The sequence below is a fragment of the Homo sapiens genome, chromosome 12, assembly GCF_000001405.40.
Source record: "Homo sapiens chromosome 12, GRCh38.p14 Primary Assembly".
In the NCBI taxonomy this organism is placed as follows: Eukaryota; Metazoa; Chordata; class Mammalia; order Primates; family Hominidae; genus Homo; species Homo sapiens.
The window spans coordinates 30687885-30705629 of NC_000012.12; the positions used below are offsets into that span (position 1 = coordinate 30687885).

At 40.3% G+C, this 17745-nt stretch overlaps 1 protein-coding gene across 3 annotated transcripts in view, besides 2 other annotated features; it reads right to left on the reverse strand.

Moving 5' to 3' along the window:
- The window catches only part of IPO8 (importin 8), a 66882-nt gene extending 58897 nt beyond the window's left edge, over positions 1-7985 (reverse strand). For 2 of the 3 annotated variants that reach the window (NM_006390.4, XM_017018693.3), the window contains exons 1-2: positions 7680-7985; positions 2612-2693 (exon numbers count right to left, since the gene is read on the reverse strand). In NM_006390.4, coding sequence (NP_006381.2) covers positions 2612-2693; positions 7680-7763 — 166 coding nt within the window. In that variant the 5' untranslated portion in view covers positions 7764-7985. Of the gene's footprint in view, positions 1-2611; positions 2694-7093; positions 7444-7679 lie in introns of those variants that run through there. The other variant, XM_017018691.3, reaches the window with a different exon arrangement.
- Positions 7735-7784: a silencer, noted in NCBI's record as "silent region_4321". NCBI's record gives its function as "represses an Ori minimal core promoter by ATAC-STARR-seq in GM12878 lymphoblastoid cells {active_cell/tissue: GM12878}" and the evidence as "EXISTENCE:reporter gene assay evidence [ECO:0000049][PMID:35858748]".
- Positions 7875-8374: an enhancer, noted in NCBI's record as "active region_6158". NCBI's record gives its function as "activates an Ori minimal core promoter by ATAC-STARR-seq in GM12878 lymphoblastoid cells {active_cell/tissue: GM12878}" and the evidence as "EXISTENCE:reporter gene assay evidence [ECO:0000049][PMID:35858748]".

Below are 17745 nucleotides of genomic sequence, written 5' to 3' on the forward strand. Positions count from 1 at the left end.
ACAAGGAGCAGGCAAACTTATAGAAATCAAAAACCATGCTATTTTTTTAAATGACAGTCCCACATCTGTCACCACTGATGACCTCTTCAGGTCTAATACCTCTCAACCACCACTTTTAAATCCAAACTACTCTCTCCTTCTCGTAGCAACTCCAAAATGCACTGAAAAAAGTACATTTCTGAGCCTAAATTTACATATATTAGAGAAATTTTACTAAAGAGTCTCTTCAGATGTAAGAAGTAAAAAATTAGAAACAAAAGTGATTTGAAATTCCAGATCATAACTATCCTAAATTTAAGATAGGCTTCCTTCACCGCACATGATAATATTAATAATGCTATTATGCTTATCAACACCTCAAAAGAAAAGCAGCAGACCAAACATTCAAATTTTTTTGTTTTGCTTGGCAACATCAAAATACTTAATTTTTTCCTGTTTCTTGAAAACTCACAGTAAGGTAAGAAAGGACATTCACCAGTGAGCACGCTTGATGGTAGCAAGAACACTTTAGATTGCCCACAAGCAAAAGAGAAAAAGTATTTTGCAGATGTATTTCCACTTAACATTAGCATAACTTTTTTTTTACAGCTTTATACAGGCTTTCTTTTAAAGCAAAAATCACAACATTCTTTTTTAAGTGTCATGCTAAAGATAAATTATCTTTCTAGGTGTCTTGGAGCATCCTTGTATTTTAATAATAGATTAAACAGAACAGAAAATTTATAAATACCACTTAAATTTAGGATTTGAAATCTAAATTATGAAAAAACAAATTATGAAGAAAAAAATGCCTTTCAATGCTGTTTACATTTTACATCAAAACTTCATTAAGTTGTACAGAGTTGGTGAGGATTTGGGGAACCTAGCATTCTAATGCACTGTTGGTAGAAAATGTAAGCAAAAGCAACTTAGTGAGAAGATTCTAAATTCTAAATGTCATAAATATCCATTAGCCAAGCATTTCCCCTTGTTATAACTTATTCTATAAAAACACTCCCACAAGTACCTAGATACATATCAAATGACACTCATTTAGCATTGCTTCTATCAACAATGAAAAAAAGACAATAAGCGAAATGTCCATCAATATCAAATCGTTTAAGTAAACCATGGTAATTCTTATATAAAGAAATACTGCACAGCTGTTATAAAGAATGAAGTATCTATATGCACTGACTTGGAGCAATCTTCAAGGGTACATGGTTAAATGAAAAAAAGGAAACTGTAAAATAGCATGTGTAATATAAAAAAAAGAATTGGAGAGCCACGCATCAAAGCTGATGGCAGTCATCTTTGGGTGTATTAAGAACAATGTAAGTTATAAACTGTGTTTTTCTAATGTTTCCATGTCATTAAAGGAAGACATTAATGTAAAAACTTGTTTTAAGATCTTTTAAAATGTTATTTCTTAAATGCTTCATAGGAACTTTACAATGGCCCTATAAACACTTAGGTTTTTAAAATAGGTTCCATTCAACAAAATGTTATTCCAGAACAGCCCTATTTTATAAAACAAAGATGAAACAAGTGCCAATTGTGGTTTCAAAAATTTACACAGAAGTCTTGTAAACCTTATAAAAGCAAAAAATAATTCCAACATCAGTGTTTTTCCATAGGATTTTCTTTTTTATCTTAACCACAAAGTGATCTTTCAGGAAATCATATATAGTGTTATAAATCTTCCCAAAGCTTAATATTTCTTTATCTTTTTATTCTATGTTCAAATCAAATTAAATACTTTCATCAGCATGTAGATTATGACCCATTTCTCTGAAACTGTTCATCTATCCTTCTACGTGAACACATGGAAAGGCTAATGTTCACCTAACGTTAATGATGAGTAATGATGGCCATTTCTGAGTGATGAATGTTGGGTAGTTTTACTTCCTTCTTTGTATTCTTCTAAATTGTCCAAATTACTTACATGTATATGTCACTTACATAACAAGTCTTTTTAAATACTTATTTTTAATTAGCTATTGTCGTTTACCTCCTTTAGCTTTTGATTATTATCTTTTGAAAATTCATGATACTCTAAGGCTCTAATTTTTAACCTTCTGGGCTCTAATGACCAGTCCATAAAAAAACAAGATAAAAGAACGATGTACAACATCATGAAACAACGTAAGATCCCACAGACTTAAAAGTAAGTTTCATGTTTAAAACATAGTCCTGCTCCGCAGTCACCTGGGTTAGGAACATCTGTGCAACACATTACCTCCATGATTTGCCACGTAACAGAGCTCGAATTCACATATATAAATTCATGGTCTTAATCTATGGGCCCAGAGGCTAGGCTACCAGAAATCATAAAACGTTAGAGAGATCAGCTATTAAAATTGAGAAAAATAAGGGCAAAGTTACAGAGGCAAGGAATTGGTGGGTAAAAGGGAGAGGAGGAAAAAAAAGAGCTAGAAGATATTTGAGAGCTCAGTATCTACCTCTAAATTTCTGGGGAAAAAGAAAGTGAGTTTTGAAGTCACTGGAAATACTTCATGAGTGCTAGTGCTTCTGAATTTTTCAATAAATTACAGATATGTAAAATTAAAATAAAACTCTCATTCTACTCTCACCTATAAATAAATTTATAAAGGATAAAAAACCAACTCACCTGCCTGTCGTACTGGGAATTCCACATGGTCAGAGACTATAATCCGAAGTAAACTGGGGGCAAAATTGATAATCTTGTAGGACTGAAATTACAAAGAAATGTTTTATAAAATAGGGCAATATAAGTGAGTAGCTTATAAGTTAGCACCGGTTACTGAATACATTACTGTCCAAATAAAAGAAAAACTTTTAAACTGAGACAAACCCTTCAAGGCAAAATGAAGATTACTAAAATACTTCAAGTCAAAAAAATTTCCTGAGCAGAAACTGATGAATAAAAGAATGTGAACATTTTTATGATTTTTTTTAACATATTGTCAGAATGGTCTCCAGAAGTAGTATACCAATTTACACTCCCAACAGCAGCATATGGTAGTGTCCATCTATCTAATACAGGTATCATCATTCCTTTGAAACTTTAAAATTTTATTAATGTTTTAAATTGCATTTTCTCTATTACTAAGGAGGTTGGGTGTTTTCCTCTTTGTTGGCTGTTTTTTCTACAAATTCCTTACTCCCTTTATCCTTTTGTAAATGGAGTATTTGCTTTATTCTTAATAAATTCTAAGAGCTATTTATGAATTTAAAATCTCAATCTTTTATTTGACCTATACATGGCAAGTATTTCTTCCTAGATTATTTGTGCTTCAATTTTGTTTATGGTATTTTTGACAAACAGAAAACAAAAAAACAAAGGCTACAGGAAATAGGAGACCCAACAGAGCAAAACAGAGAAGATAATGTTACAAAGTTGAGCGTGAGCAATGGAGAGAAGCCAGTCCAGATTGGAACAGTGTGACTCACGAGATGGGGTTGAGCACACTGTCATCACCAGCTGCCCTCTACTGCTGTACTATCTTTTACACTTAATGCCTAAGTGAGCCTGTGGGGATGAAGCTCCTGCTCTGCCCTGTGGCCTGGGTCACTTCACCCCACAGGTGTGCTCTACTATGATCTGCTCCTGAGTTTGGCGATGGGGACCTTCAAAGCAAAAAAATACAGAGCATCCACTCCTTCTGATCACGTTATATCCAGATGTACAGTACCTGGACTATATTACAGTCCTGTCACATTCCAGAGTCCACATATGCCTTTGTCCACTGACATTCATTTGAAAAGACTCAAATTCCAGTGAGGCCAAACCAGACAATGACCCAGAGAGTCTGTTCAGCTCACCCCTCTCCTCAGAGCCTGGATCTGTGGGGGCATCCCTTTCAATACACAGCTAGGTTTGGGCATATTATTCATTTTTTTAAATTAAAATCACATCTATGAAGGTAAGTGTTTGATTAAAAAATTAATTTGGACACAACTGGCATTTTAAAAATATTAATCTTTTTCATCCAAGAACATTGTGCTTTCCCAATCTTTCTATATCCTTCACAAAATTTTGAATTATAATTTTCTTCCTTTCATCCTGTGTAGTCTTCAGATCACAAATCTGTGGCATGTAAATTCTTTTTTATCCATAATTGAAACCATCAGAATTTCAAAGCAGTTTTTAAGAAAACAGATTTGTTCTAACAACCGTTGATAGGAGGCAAAATTAACACAGATTCACCCAGCCTTCACCTTCTACATATGTATTATAACTCATGTTTATCTTTGTAAATACTGAAAGATCTTGTCATGAATCAAAGATTAAAACATCTATATAGTTTATTCTAATCATAAAAAAACTGACTTCCGTTATTTGTTTAAAAATCTTATTCCACACATACAAAATAACCTTTACACTTAAATAAATGCTACTTATTTGAAAGTAATATACCTATTGCAGAGACTTTTATGTCAACACTGTTGCCATTGTACAGATTTTGAAACTCCTCTTTTTGCAACTGTTTGCCATTTTAAAAAATTTCAGAAACCTTGTCTTCTTTCAGCATTGATTCATTCTATATTAACTTGGCCAGCTAAAACATTCAGAGATATAGTCAGATATATTTTCATACTACTTTACTCAGAAATAGTTACTCAATTTCTTTGTGCCTCTTCAGGCTTCGAGTTTCTAAAAAATAAATAAGACTAATTTCTCAATGATTTCCTGAGGATATTTTGTATCTGTGAAGTTTTCTGCAAATACGCAGTTTGCTTAACTAAATTCTGCATTTATGAGAACTCATAAAGCAAAAAACTGATGTCTCCTCCCATCCTCTGACTCACTGCTCCGCTGCATTAACCTTTCTAGTCCTCCAGCATGCCAAGTTGAGGGCCTTTTCTGAACCGATATTCCCTCTCAGTCCTCCAGCACGCCAAGTTGAGGGCCTTTTCTGAACTGTTGTTCCTCTCTCTGCTCTTTGCCTGGCCCATTCCTTCACAACATCCAACTCTCTACTCAATGCCATTCTTCAGAGAATGGCTATACATCCCAACACTCTTGCTCGGGCTTTACTCTCCACAGCACTTATGACCTGAAATTATATTAGTTACTTGCCTGTATCCCCAGCTCCATGGAAACAAACTCTTATACCAATATCTGCAACATAGTAACTTAATAAATATTTCTGTGCTATTTACATAAACAAATTATCTTAATAAAGGGTAATGAAAATTGCATGTACACATGCATGGAAAGCAGAGATTCAAAAGCTTGGCAATCAAAGTAAAAACTTATTTCCCTACCGAGGCCATGTGAAGGATAATTTATTAAAAGAGGACACCTTTCTGGATGAATTACTTAAGCAAGGTACCTACCCATTCCTATTCCTCTATGCTGCCTCTAATGGGACTTCTGGTCTATAGAAAATGAGGAAGATGTATAGGGTTCGCTCAATATCCTGAGATAAAACTACAAATACATTTTCCCACAGAAACAATATCACAAATAGCAGTCAGAAAACTACTCACTAGTAACAGAAAAATGCTGGCCTGAAAAAAATATATAGCTCCAAATGAGAATTTATCCATTGGAATATAGGCTGTGGTGCAGAAGCTGCTTATTTTTCTAAACGGCAATTGACAGATCCATCAGTATACCGCAGAAGCTGCTCCCATTCCCTATGCAGAACATACTTGCTGAGGGGAGACCTAGACTAAAGTCGAAGAGGTGGACCATAACCACTTATGGTGATTTACCCACTCATTTATCCAACAAAGTCGGATGTTACAGTGGTGGCAAAGGACAAGCAGGCAAAACCCATCATCATAAGCATGTTTTACTACACTGTTAGGTGACATTATATTTTGTTCTATTTACAGCCAATTCAAAAAACCTTAAAGCATTTCACTATGCTTTATATAAATTATAAATGCTAAATGAGTGGTATAGCAATAAGCTACCTTTAGAAATTGCTGGGGAAACCACGGTCTGTGATGAGGTGGGACACTATGGGGCAGGGCAGAGTGATGATGGAATGGATTTGGATTGAACTACCATCAAGAGTCTACGGCCATACCACCCTGAACGTGCCTGCTTTTGTCTGAAATACCATGGGAAAAAAAATAGGATTGGGTCTTAAATGTCTCCTAGTTCTGCAGGCTTTCTCATATACTTTTTCCACTTCTATAACATCAACTGTACTTATATACTGATGAATCAGAAAGAAATGAAGGTTAGGTGAAGGGCAGGGAAGTGTAACCTGATATCAAAGGAACACCTGGCCTCATTGTGAGAAGGGGGTCATAAACAGGCCAACTCCCCTGTTCATATTAGTAGACTGCAAATTCAGCTCCTGCTTTGTTCTTCCTAACTAACCCCTGGATTACTATTCTTCCAGCCAGCCAACATACAGTACTTTTACTCTGCAAAGCCTGGGACAGGTACTGACTTTAACTTCCCCCTATTCTAAGTGACAGTCCATTTCTTTTTCAGGCACCAGTGCATTATCTTTGGGCATTAGTTCAACCCAACCTCCTCTCCATTGGCAGTGTCTTCACTCTCCCTTTTATCTCTGGGGAATCCTGCATTTATACCTACTCCAAACTCCACCTAGGTTTCCTATTAAAATAATCCCTTTCAAAGATTCCCAACACGCAGCTTTTTAAAGTCAATTCCAACAGAAACATTTACTTAGGACAGTCACACTTCAGTCACACTTCGGGAGGCACAGAATCACCTGGGGGAGCTAGTTAAAATACAACTGGTCCCACCCCCACAGTTTCTGATTCGTTAAGTCTGGACTGAAGCCCCGTAATTTGCATAATTTGTAAGTTCTCAGGTGATGCTGAAGCTCCAGGTCCTGGGCAACGCTTTGAGAACAGCTGATTTTGGAATATTTACATTTTACAAGTCATCACAACCTAAAACAGCTGTTGCTCCATCCCAGTGGTAGCTCTTAATCCCTACTTTTTAGTAAGAGGTCTGTGATTCTTAAGTACCGGTAGGGAAGAAGAAATAAGCTGGAGTTTGGGATCATTAAAATTTTGAAGTGTGGGGGTAACGCTGGAAAGACGTCAAGGCTAATTAGGAAGAACAGGAGACGGAGAAAAGAAAGAAGTCTTACACATTTTAGCATTCATAAGAAATTTCTCCAACACATCTTACTTTGATGTGTCTTAGATAAAGCAGTATCACCATGAAAACTGCCTATTCTTCCCAGAGCACTCTCCCAACAGCACTGCCCAGCGCTCCGCAAAACTCGGCCAATCGGTGTCAAAACAGTCCTGCCAACCCGACAGGAGGAGGCGGTGGGCAGCGTGCTCCACAGCAACACCTAAAAAGGGCTGGGTTTGGAAAAAAGCTGAACTCAGATTTGAACTGTAAGTAAAATTCCCACCTGCTCCCCAAGTCCGCGCACTTAAGGAAAATAAATCACACCCTGAAAACACTAGCACAGGTTGCAAAAACTGCTTCTTGCGGACCAAGTAGGCAGAACAAACTGCCCTGGAGAAGGGAGACGACACGAAAAGGTGCAAAGGTGGCCAACAGGTGCGCGAGCTGTTCGGCAAAGATCCTGGGAGCCCTGCTCCACTGGACCGGGGGGCAGCGGGGTCGGAGAGCGGGACCAGCCGTGAGGCGTCAGCCCCAGCCCGGTGGGGGTGAGGACGAGGGGCGCCGGGGAGAGGGAGCCCGGCCAGCCGGCAGGGGCGCCCCTTCGGCGGAAGAGGGTCGCCGAAGACCCTCTCCTCACCTGGTTGAGCTCGTTCTCGGCTGCAATCCGCAACTTCGGGTCGATGGTGCCCTTCAGCGCCTGGATGATCCGGTTGAGGTCCATCTCCCCGGGTGGGGGCTCCGCGGCCCCCGGAACAGTAGGCCGGACTGCAGCTTTAGTTTTCTTTTGACCCTCTCAGCCTCCTCTTCCGCGACCCCTGGATTACCTCACACCCCACCCCCCGCCACCGTCGCCACCTGCGGCCACTTGCTGCGCCACTCTGACTCCGCGCCCCCTGTCCTCCCTTTTTCCCCCCCACAACTCGCTCTCCATTCACCGTTTTACGACAGCCGGTGGGAGGCGGGAGAAGGAAGAAGAGGAAGCAGAGCTTCCTTTACGGCGGCCTCTTCCCCCGGGCGTGATGCTATGACCGCCTCCCGTCGGCGGCCGCCATGCTGCTGTACGGAAAACGGCCTAGGCTTCTTTCCCGGAAAGGAACCCGCGCTCCCGAACTCAGGCAGGCGGCCGCTATGCTTCCGTACGGTAAACAGCCTCCCGCCTCTTCCCAGGTGAGGAAACTTGAGCTGGCCGGGAGTCTGCTTACAGCTGCTTCCAAATTAAGCATATCTGGATGGTGTGACACTTTTTGTTAGTCCGAGAACTGTATGGGCATCGCAACTGGGCCTGTTCCAAGATAGACTTGTTGGGACCTTCAAATCATGTACCTTACAGGAGGACAGGGTTCCTCCGTGTGTGGGAGTCATCGTTCATTCATTCATTCGCTTTCACTGAACATTTGTTAAACATATATTTTTGAACCAGAGTACTAGGATTTTTAGGTACCACATTATAACAAGATGAATTCCATGCAAGTTAATGTGAAGGAATTCACAACCTGATAGATGAGACAAATATAAACAAAAAAAATTTACAGTGTAGAAATGATAGGGGAGTGCTGGGAAGGGAAGAGCGTGGTCCCTTTAAATGATAGGGATGGGCGAAGTGAAGTGCTGGGTAGAGGAGTGTGTGGTCCCTTGCTAGGGCTCCACGCCCACCGACCTAGGTGAGGACTGACACTCCTGCCTTCCAGCCCAAATGTTGCATTTCCCAAGACCACCCTGGCCTGCCACTCCCCCATACTGTGCCTATGAAAACCCCAGACCCTAGCAGGCAGGTACACAGGCAGCCAGACGTCCAGAGGAGCATAAGGGTGGAAGAAGAGGAGCTCGCTGGCACATCCGCAGGCCATTCACGGGCAGAACGATGCGGAGGTTGGCCTGGGCAGTCGGAAAAGAGCCCGGGCCGCCAAGCGGCCTAACTCCAGAGGAAAACCATTTCCCTTCTGGGTCCCTCATCTGCTGAGGGCTACTTCCACTCAATAAAACTTTGCACTCATTCTCCAAGCCCACGTGTGATCCAATTCTTCTGGTACACCAAGGCAAGAACCCAGGATACAGAAAGCTCGCTGTCTGTGCGACAAGGTAGAGGGTCTAATTGAGCTGGTTAACACAAGCCCCCTAAAGGCAAACTGAAAGAGCATCCTGTAACACACACCCACTGGGGCTTCAGGAGCTGTAAACATTCACCCCCAGACTCTGTCAAGGGGTCGGAGCCCCACAGCCTGCCGGTCTGTATGCTTCTCTAGAGGTCTGAGCAGCGGGGCACTGAAGAAGCGAGCCACACCCCCAATGCACGCCCTGTGAGGGGGACAAGGGAACCTCTCCCATTTCAGAAAGACAAAGGTCACAGAAACTGAAAACTACATCCCTGAGAGTTTTATGAAAAATTTTCAGACCTTCTCAAAAATGTAGTGAAAGGTAAGCAGAAAAGTTATACTGTTTCTATCCACTGTGGCCATATCTGGCGCCACAATTTCAATGGCATGAAAATATCAAGGAGCTGGTTCTTCCTGAGGTTAACCCAGAAGAGAGGGTTCTAATTACATTTAATAAAGATGATGATGTGGGCAAAACACAGCTGAGGGGCTGTGATCTTTTCAGGAGCAGATAATTAAGATAGATTGGGTCAATTAACTGAGTTCAATTGAGAGAGTAGAAAACATGTGGCTGAAAACTTGGTGGCTTGAAAGCTTCCCCCTCAGTTGGATGCAAAAGTGCTTCACAGTGAATTTAACATGTCTAATTGCTTCCAGTATTGCCCCTCTTTAATCCATTATTCACACTATCATCAGAAGAAAGTTTCTGAAAAGTTAATATTACTATGTCTCTTCCTTGATTTCTCATCAATTTCAAAATAAAATATAAACTTAGCACTCCAGAGTCTTATGAACACTATTTCACTAAACCACTCTCTTGGACATCATGAATGTCTAAAAAATTTTTTATCTCTGAAAATCTTAACTCCAATATCCTCTTTTATAATTAGAACTAATTCTTCCATTTCTCTCTTCCTCAAAAATTCTAAGCTTGTTTTCCAATTCAATCACTACTTCAGTTCTTAGTCTATCCATTACTCACTACACATCATTCTCTGCTATTAAACCCCCAATTCAGCTTCTTAACTCTAGCCTTGACCCACTGTGCAAACTGATATCAGATGTATTCTTTAATCAGATGCAACCATCCTATTCCTATTCCTTGCCTTTAATCAGCAACATCTTCCATTCCCTCAGTGGCGTTTCAACTCTCAGGACTCTTCTCAAGCTCCCTACGCCTTCTCACCAAACCCTGCAAAGATGAGCAAAACCCTCAGGCTCAACTCAACAACAAATTCATCTCCGCTTATCCCTCTTCATCTCCTCTGCAGTCTGAACCCCATTCTCTCCCATCTCCTCCAGGACCCTGTTCCATAAATCTCTCCTCTCTTAAATACATTTTTTCATTAAAATAAATTTTAGTCATTATAATGTGCTCATTGTTGACAATGTGTAAGTTTTTTTCGTACTTTTTCAGCCTCTTTTCCTCCACTGATTCAACCTCAGCCTAAAAACATTTCCCCCAGCAAAAAAATAATCTTCAGTAATGCTAATTATTGCTCATTCTTTTCCACTTCATTCCAAAGAATGGTCTTCATTCACTGTGTCAGCTTACTTCCCATTCATGCTTCAACCACCTATCCCCAGGCTTCTCCCCCTCATTTCCCACTAAAACTGCCAAGCAAAGATGAACACCGACCTCTTTAGGGGGTATACCAACTGCAAGAGACATTTTTAGTTCTCAACTTAAATTTTCTCTCTCTCGCGCGCGCGCGCGCGCGCGTGTGTGTGTGTGTGTGTGTGTGTGTGTGTGTGTGTATGTATAGAGAGAGAGAGAGATTGAGAGATTGGGGGAGGGCGTCTCACTTCCATTGCCTAGGTTGTAGTGCAGAGGCATGATCACTGCTCACTGCAGCCTCGACCTCCTGGGCTCAGGTAATTCTCCCACTTCAGCCTCCCAAGTAGCCGGGACTACAGGCACATGCCACCACGCCCAGCTTTATTTTTAGTAGAGACAGGGTTTTACCACATTGCTCAGGCTGGTCTCAAACTGCTAGGCACAAGCAATCTGGCAGCCTCAGCCTCCCAAATTAGGATTACAGGTGTGAGCCACCACACCCAGCCTCTAATATCCGGTATCATATTTCATACTATTTTTAAATTATCTCTTTTCTTGTTTTCTCTTACAGAATACATTCCTAACCCTTTGATTACTCAATCGCCCAAGTCTTCGACGCTTCTCAGGACTCTGTCCTCAGCCATCTTCTCTTTCTCATCCACCCATTTTTCAGTAATTTCATCCACTTACATAACTTTAACCATCAACTAAACAAAGATAGCTTACAAAACTAGTTGTAAGATCTCTTCCCTTAAACTAAATATATCCAAATGCCTATACATTTCTACCAATATCTATCCCTCAAATCACTTAAGGCACATGTCTAAAACTGAACTCAGCACTGAAGATGATAGATTGGAGAAGGGAGAGACTTAAGGTAGTTATTCCAATAACATAAAAGGAGAGATCAAAAACGGTGACACCACCAAACGCTGGTGAGGATGTACAGAAACTGGATCACTTATATGTTGGTGGTAACATGTACAGTGATACAGCCTTTCTGAAAACAATTGGGCAGTTTCTTTAAAAAACTGAATATGCAACTACCATATGACACAGCAATTGCACTCCAGAGCATTGGTCCTAGACAAATGAAGACTTGTGCTCATAAAAAAAACCTTGTGAGTGTATATGCAGCTTTATTCATCATAACCCAAATCTGGAAACAATCCAGATATCCTTCAGTGGGTGAATGGTTAAATAAACATGGTACATCTATACCATGGGATACTACTGAGCAACAAAAAAAAAGATACATGTAGCAACCTTGATGAATCTTCTGAGAATTACGCTGAGGGAAAGAAGCCAATCCCAAAGGTTGCATCTTGTCAAATGCCATTTATATAACATTCTTAAAATTTAAAAAATATAGAAGGATCCATGGTTGCTAAGGGTTAAAGTGGAGGTGGTGGCAAGGGGGAAGTGGGTGTGACTGTAGAAGGGCAATATGAGGAATTCTGATGATGGAAATGTTCGTTTCTTGACTGTATCAATGTCCATATCCCAGTTGTGATGTTGTACTATAGTTTTACAAGATGTTACTGTTGAAGGAAACTGGAAAAATCGTACATAGGATCTATCTGTATCATTTCTTACAACTTCATGTGAATCTACAATTATATCAAAATAAAAATTTTACCCAAAGTACGTAATTAAAAAGAGCTGATGTTCCCATGAAAACTTTGTATGCTTTGGACAGACTCACTGAAGACAAGTTACTAAAATACAATGCTATCAAATTAGGGGTGGCCAAGAAAACAGGAAAGATCAGAAAAAGCCATGAGCTCTCGGATTCTGCTCTCAGATTTCTTGGCAAGCGTTTTAAAATGATTTTCCCTAAACTATAATTTATGTTCAACTTACATATGACTCATTGTTTGAATCTTTTTTTTTCACTTTGCATAATGAGAGGCTTTCTATATTTATTGATGCCCTCAGCTCGTTTCAGGTAGAATTTGAACCAGTGATATTGTCTTGTATTTTCATGGTTTGAAATATGCCTCCCCTCTCTGTGCCTGTTTCCTCATCTGCTTCCAAAAGCTGTTTTAGGGACTAGATGAGATAAGCCCATGGGACATGTGCAATAAATACATCATTGTAGTCTATTTAAGAGAAGAGAGGCCTTATTCAAAATTGCTGAATCAGACATCATCTCACACTATGCCTGGCACACAATAAACAATCCGTCAGCACTGGTTGAATGAGTAAGTGAATGCATGTGAGAGAGAAGGGGTCCAAAACAGGATATCCACAGTAGGCATGAAGGCCAAAAGATATAAGCCATTTCACAGGAAGAATCAACAGTAATTCGTGATGGGTTAGGTATACAAAGTAACTAAGGTAAGTCAAGAATGATTTTAAAGCTTCAAGCTTTGATGACCTATGGAAGTCATTAACCAGGGAAAACATAACTAGATTTTGGAGGAAAGATGAGTTAGCCTTTGGATGTATTGAACTAGAAGTGCTTACAGTTTACATGCCTAGAGATTTCCAGTGAATAACTCATCAATGAGCTGAGTGGGGAGGCAGGAAGCTATGGCCAGTGGAAGAGGAAGAAATAAAGGGATGGAGTTAAGAGAGCTGTAAGCCTTATGTGCACATAGGGCAGTTGACATCATAGAAGTGGATGGCATTACCCTAGAAATACAGCATACAGAATAACTGGCATGATTACAGCTCAAATTACAGAAAGTAATTTTTACTCCAAGCACTGACACTGTGGACTTTTTTGAGATTTAACATTTTAGTCATCTAAATGGAATATCACACAGCTGTCCTCCCCATCTGTTGGCAGCAGCTCATCTGTTGGTGTATGTTAGTAAGCTTGAATCTAATCCATACAGTAAAGAGAAAATGAGAGTTAAAAACCAACACTTGAAAATCCTATCTGTAAGTTTAATAATGCATCTCTTAAATACTATAAAGTTTATCATTAAAGACCTCTGCTCCAAGTGTCTAAACTGAGCAGCGGGGTGAGTGGCTCACAACTGTAATCCCAGCACTTTGGGAGGCCGAGGCAGGTGGATCACTTGAGGTCAGGGGTTCAAGACCAGCCTAGTCAACATGGTGAAACCCGGTCTGTACTAAAAATACAAAAACTTAGCCAGGTATGGTGGCACATGCCTGTTATCCAAGCTACTTGGGAGGCTGAGGCAGGAGAACCACTTGAACCCAGAAGGCAGAGGTTGCGGTGAGCTGAGATCATGCCACTGTACTCCAGCCTGAGTGACAGAGTGAGACTCTGTCTCAAAAAAAAAAAAAAAAAAAAAAAAAAAAGTCTATACTGGCACAGCTCTATATGATAAGCACTTGAAATATATCCCCTCGTATGCCCAAGGGATTGGTTCCAGGACATCCATGTATACCCAAAGCCGTGTATACTCAAGTCCTCTAGTCAGCCCTGCAGAACCCCAGGATACAAAAAGTCAGCCCTCCTTTATATTCGGATTCCATATCCTGCAAAAATTGATTGTATTTTCTATTGGCATTTGGTTGAAATTACATGTAAGTGGACCTGCGCAGTTCAAATCCATGTTGTTCAAGAGTCAACTGTATATGTGAGAATATATATATATATATAAATTTAGAGAGAGGAATTTATGTATATAATATATGGAGAATATAAAATACATAGGAATTGTTAAGAGGAATTTCTTAAAAAACAAAAAATCAGTGATACATAAGCTAAAGTAATAGGAGTTAGAGCAGTGTTACAAAGTTTCTAAACAGGAGCCAGCAACTTTCTTCTCCAGAGGCTACAATGATAGCAGTGATGGGAAAGGATGCAAGGTGCAAATAGTAGTACTAAATAGGACAGAAGAAAAAATATTTACTTTCAAATAAATTTGTCTTCAAGATGTTGTTTCTTCACCTCCTCAGGCTTTCCACTTTTCACATTGAAAAAGAGGCCATCCCCTTCCTCAGCTTCAGGACCTCTGAGAAACTATGACTTAAGACAACCTCAACTGAGTGGTTCATATAGTTCACAAAGTGTCTAGTTTGCCATAGTGCACCAAAAGCATATGAATGAGACAGCAGTGGAAAATATGTTAACAGCTGCAGCACTAGAGAGCTAAAGTAGATACTGCAGAGAATGTTGCACTGTATTTGGACTTGAGAGAGCTAGCTCTAGCTCAGCCCTTTTGATAATGGCCTTAGAAAGTCAATCTCCAAGAGTTTCCATTTTCTTATCCCCTAAAACAATATCTACCTCACCAGGGCCACTGTAAGGAAAAAATAAGTTTACATATATGGGCCAGGCCTGGTGGCTCATGCTTATAATCCCAGCAATTTGCGAGGCTGAAGCTGGTGGATCACTTGAGCCCAGGAATACAAGACCAGCCTGGGCAACATGGTGAAACCTCGTCTCTAAAAAACCCCCAAACAGCTGGGTGTGGTAGCTCATGCCTGTAACCCTAGCTCTTTGGGAGGCTGAGGCAGATGGATCACTTGAGGTCAGGAGTTCAAGACCAGCCTGGCCAACATGGTGAAACCCCGTCACTACTAAAAATACAAAAACTTAGCCGGGCATGGTGGCGCATGCCTGTAATCCCAGCTACTTGAGAGGCTGAGGGAGAATTGCACAAACCCAGGAGGCAGAGGGTGCAGTGAGCCGAGATCACACCACCGCACTCCAGCCTGGGTGACAGAGCGAGACTCTGTCTCAAAAAAACGAAAACAAAAAACTTCCCAAAAATTAACTAGGTGTGGTGGTGTGTACCTGAAATCCTAGCCACACAGGAGGCTGAGGCAGGAGGATCACTTGAGCCCAGGAGGTCAAGGCTGCAGTGAGCCATGATCACACCACTGCACTCCAGCCTGGGGGGACAGAGTGAGACCCTATCTCAAAAAACAAACAACAAAAAAGTTACATATATGGCAGTAAAGTATTAAGTGAAATGCAAAAATTAGTGTATTGTGGATAATACTTAGCCTTTTAAGTACTTAGGCTTTTTTTAAAAGTATTATCCCAGACTTGATAATTAAAACAAACCCTCAAACTATCCAAAGAAAGACAAGCAGGGTAGGTTCCCCTATAGCAACCTACCATTTTATCTCTTAGTTTAAAATTTTTAACAAAAAAGTGATATATACCTTTTAAGTTCTAAAGTTCAGAATGAAAAGCAAGTCTTCCTCCCCCAACAAGCCCCAAACCCTTTCCTTAAAGCTAACACCTTCAAATTTCTTGTACATCCTAGCAGAAAAAAGTTCAAGCAATCGGATATATGCTTTTACGATTTTTCACACAAATGAGATGTTATCGATTCTGTTCTACTATTTGTAGGGCAAATTCCTAGTAGCGGAATTTCTGGGTCAAAAGTGTGTGTGTGTGTGTGTGTGTGTGTGTGTGTGTGTGTGTGTGTGTGTTTTTACCTTAACAGTCATTACCAATTTACTCTCCAAAAATAGACTAATTTTATTCCAAACTACAGCATGAATGCCCATTTCCCCACATGCTTGCCAAAGTATGTGCCTTAAAACCTTAAATACGCTTACTGAAAATGTTTTCATGTATTAACTGCTTCTTCACATTCATTGCCCTTTTTTATTTATTGATTTCCTCCCACTGCAGGTGGCCATTTTGTCTTCTGATGCTGATATTTTCCTCCAATCAAAAGTCTTGTGGGAATAAATTATGTGTGTTTAATTTATCCTTAGGGCTTCTGGGTTTTGTGTCCCACTTAGAATGCTCTTCCATACCCCTACATTGGTGTTCCCTACCCTGACAAAAAATAATGCTATCATGAAGCCCCAAATGAGTAAGCCCTACCTTTTACATTCAAGCTTCCAGTCATCTTTTTGGTGACCCATTCTTTTTTTTTTCCTGTTTTTTTCCCCTTCATTTTAATCAACACTTTACAAAGTACAAAATATACTGCCTTTTTTGGGAAACATTAGGTACTTTTTTCTCTCCATCATACAGTTACATGAATCTCGAGGGCTTTGTGTTTCTTCAATAAGAACATAAGCATGAAGCCCCAGGAGGTTGGGATAGGATGGTCAGTTCTCCCCTTCACCTAGACCTCGGGACCCATGAAGCATCATTGCTATGGATGGTGACCTGTGCACGCCAAGTGAGGGCCAGAGGGGGCCGTGAGCAGGCAGGAAGTCCTCTGTATCCCCCTAAGATGGGGCTCTGGACCGGGCTCCTCAGAGCTCCACCATGCACCCACCATCCACTCATCCCCATCTCTCAAGATAAATTATTTTGGCATACAGCAAGATGAAGTCTTGGAATTGTTTTGCTGTTAGCACCCTAATGTTTTGGAGCCAACTCTGCTCAACTCTTCCTGGACCATCTTCTGAATGTAGGTAAACTGAGGCAGTGGACAAGAAAATGCACTGAGCTTGGCCTGTCTTGAAACCTGAATTTGACCTGCTTTTCACCCCACACCCCATACCAGAGTTGGGGTCTCCAACTTTGTTGGATGTCCTTCCAGGATGACCCCCCAATAGGTGTGGGGTTGGTGCTCCATTCTTAAACAGTCAGCCAATTATCACAAGATTCTGAGCAAATAAAACAATGCAGTTAAGTGAATTGAATAGAAAAAGTGTAGTAAATAGACTACTTAGGGCAAAAAAAACCTTTTAAAAAACTATCCTTAGAGTAATGAGAAAATAACACAATCATGAAACAAGAACAGCATACACAGTTGGCCCTCCATAGCCACAGGTCCCACATCCACAGATTGGAAATATTCAGGGAAACAAAGGATGCTTGCTTCTGTACTGAACATGTACAAACCATTTTTTCTTGTCATTATTCCCTAAACAATCCAGTATAACAACTATTTACATAGCATCTACACAGCATATTATAATCTAGAGATGATCTAAAGTATACAGGAGGATGTGTGGAGGTTATTGGCAAACACTACTCCCTTTTGTATCAGGGACTTGAGCATTTGCAGATTTTAGTATCTGTAGGGGTCCTGGAAACAATCCCCCATGGATGCTGAGGGACAACTGTATGTAATGAACATTCAGATAACAGGTCTACTTAGAAATTTTGAATGTTAATGAAAATTTAAAACTTCATAAAAAGGTAGGAA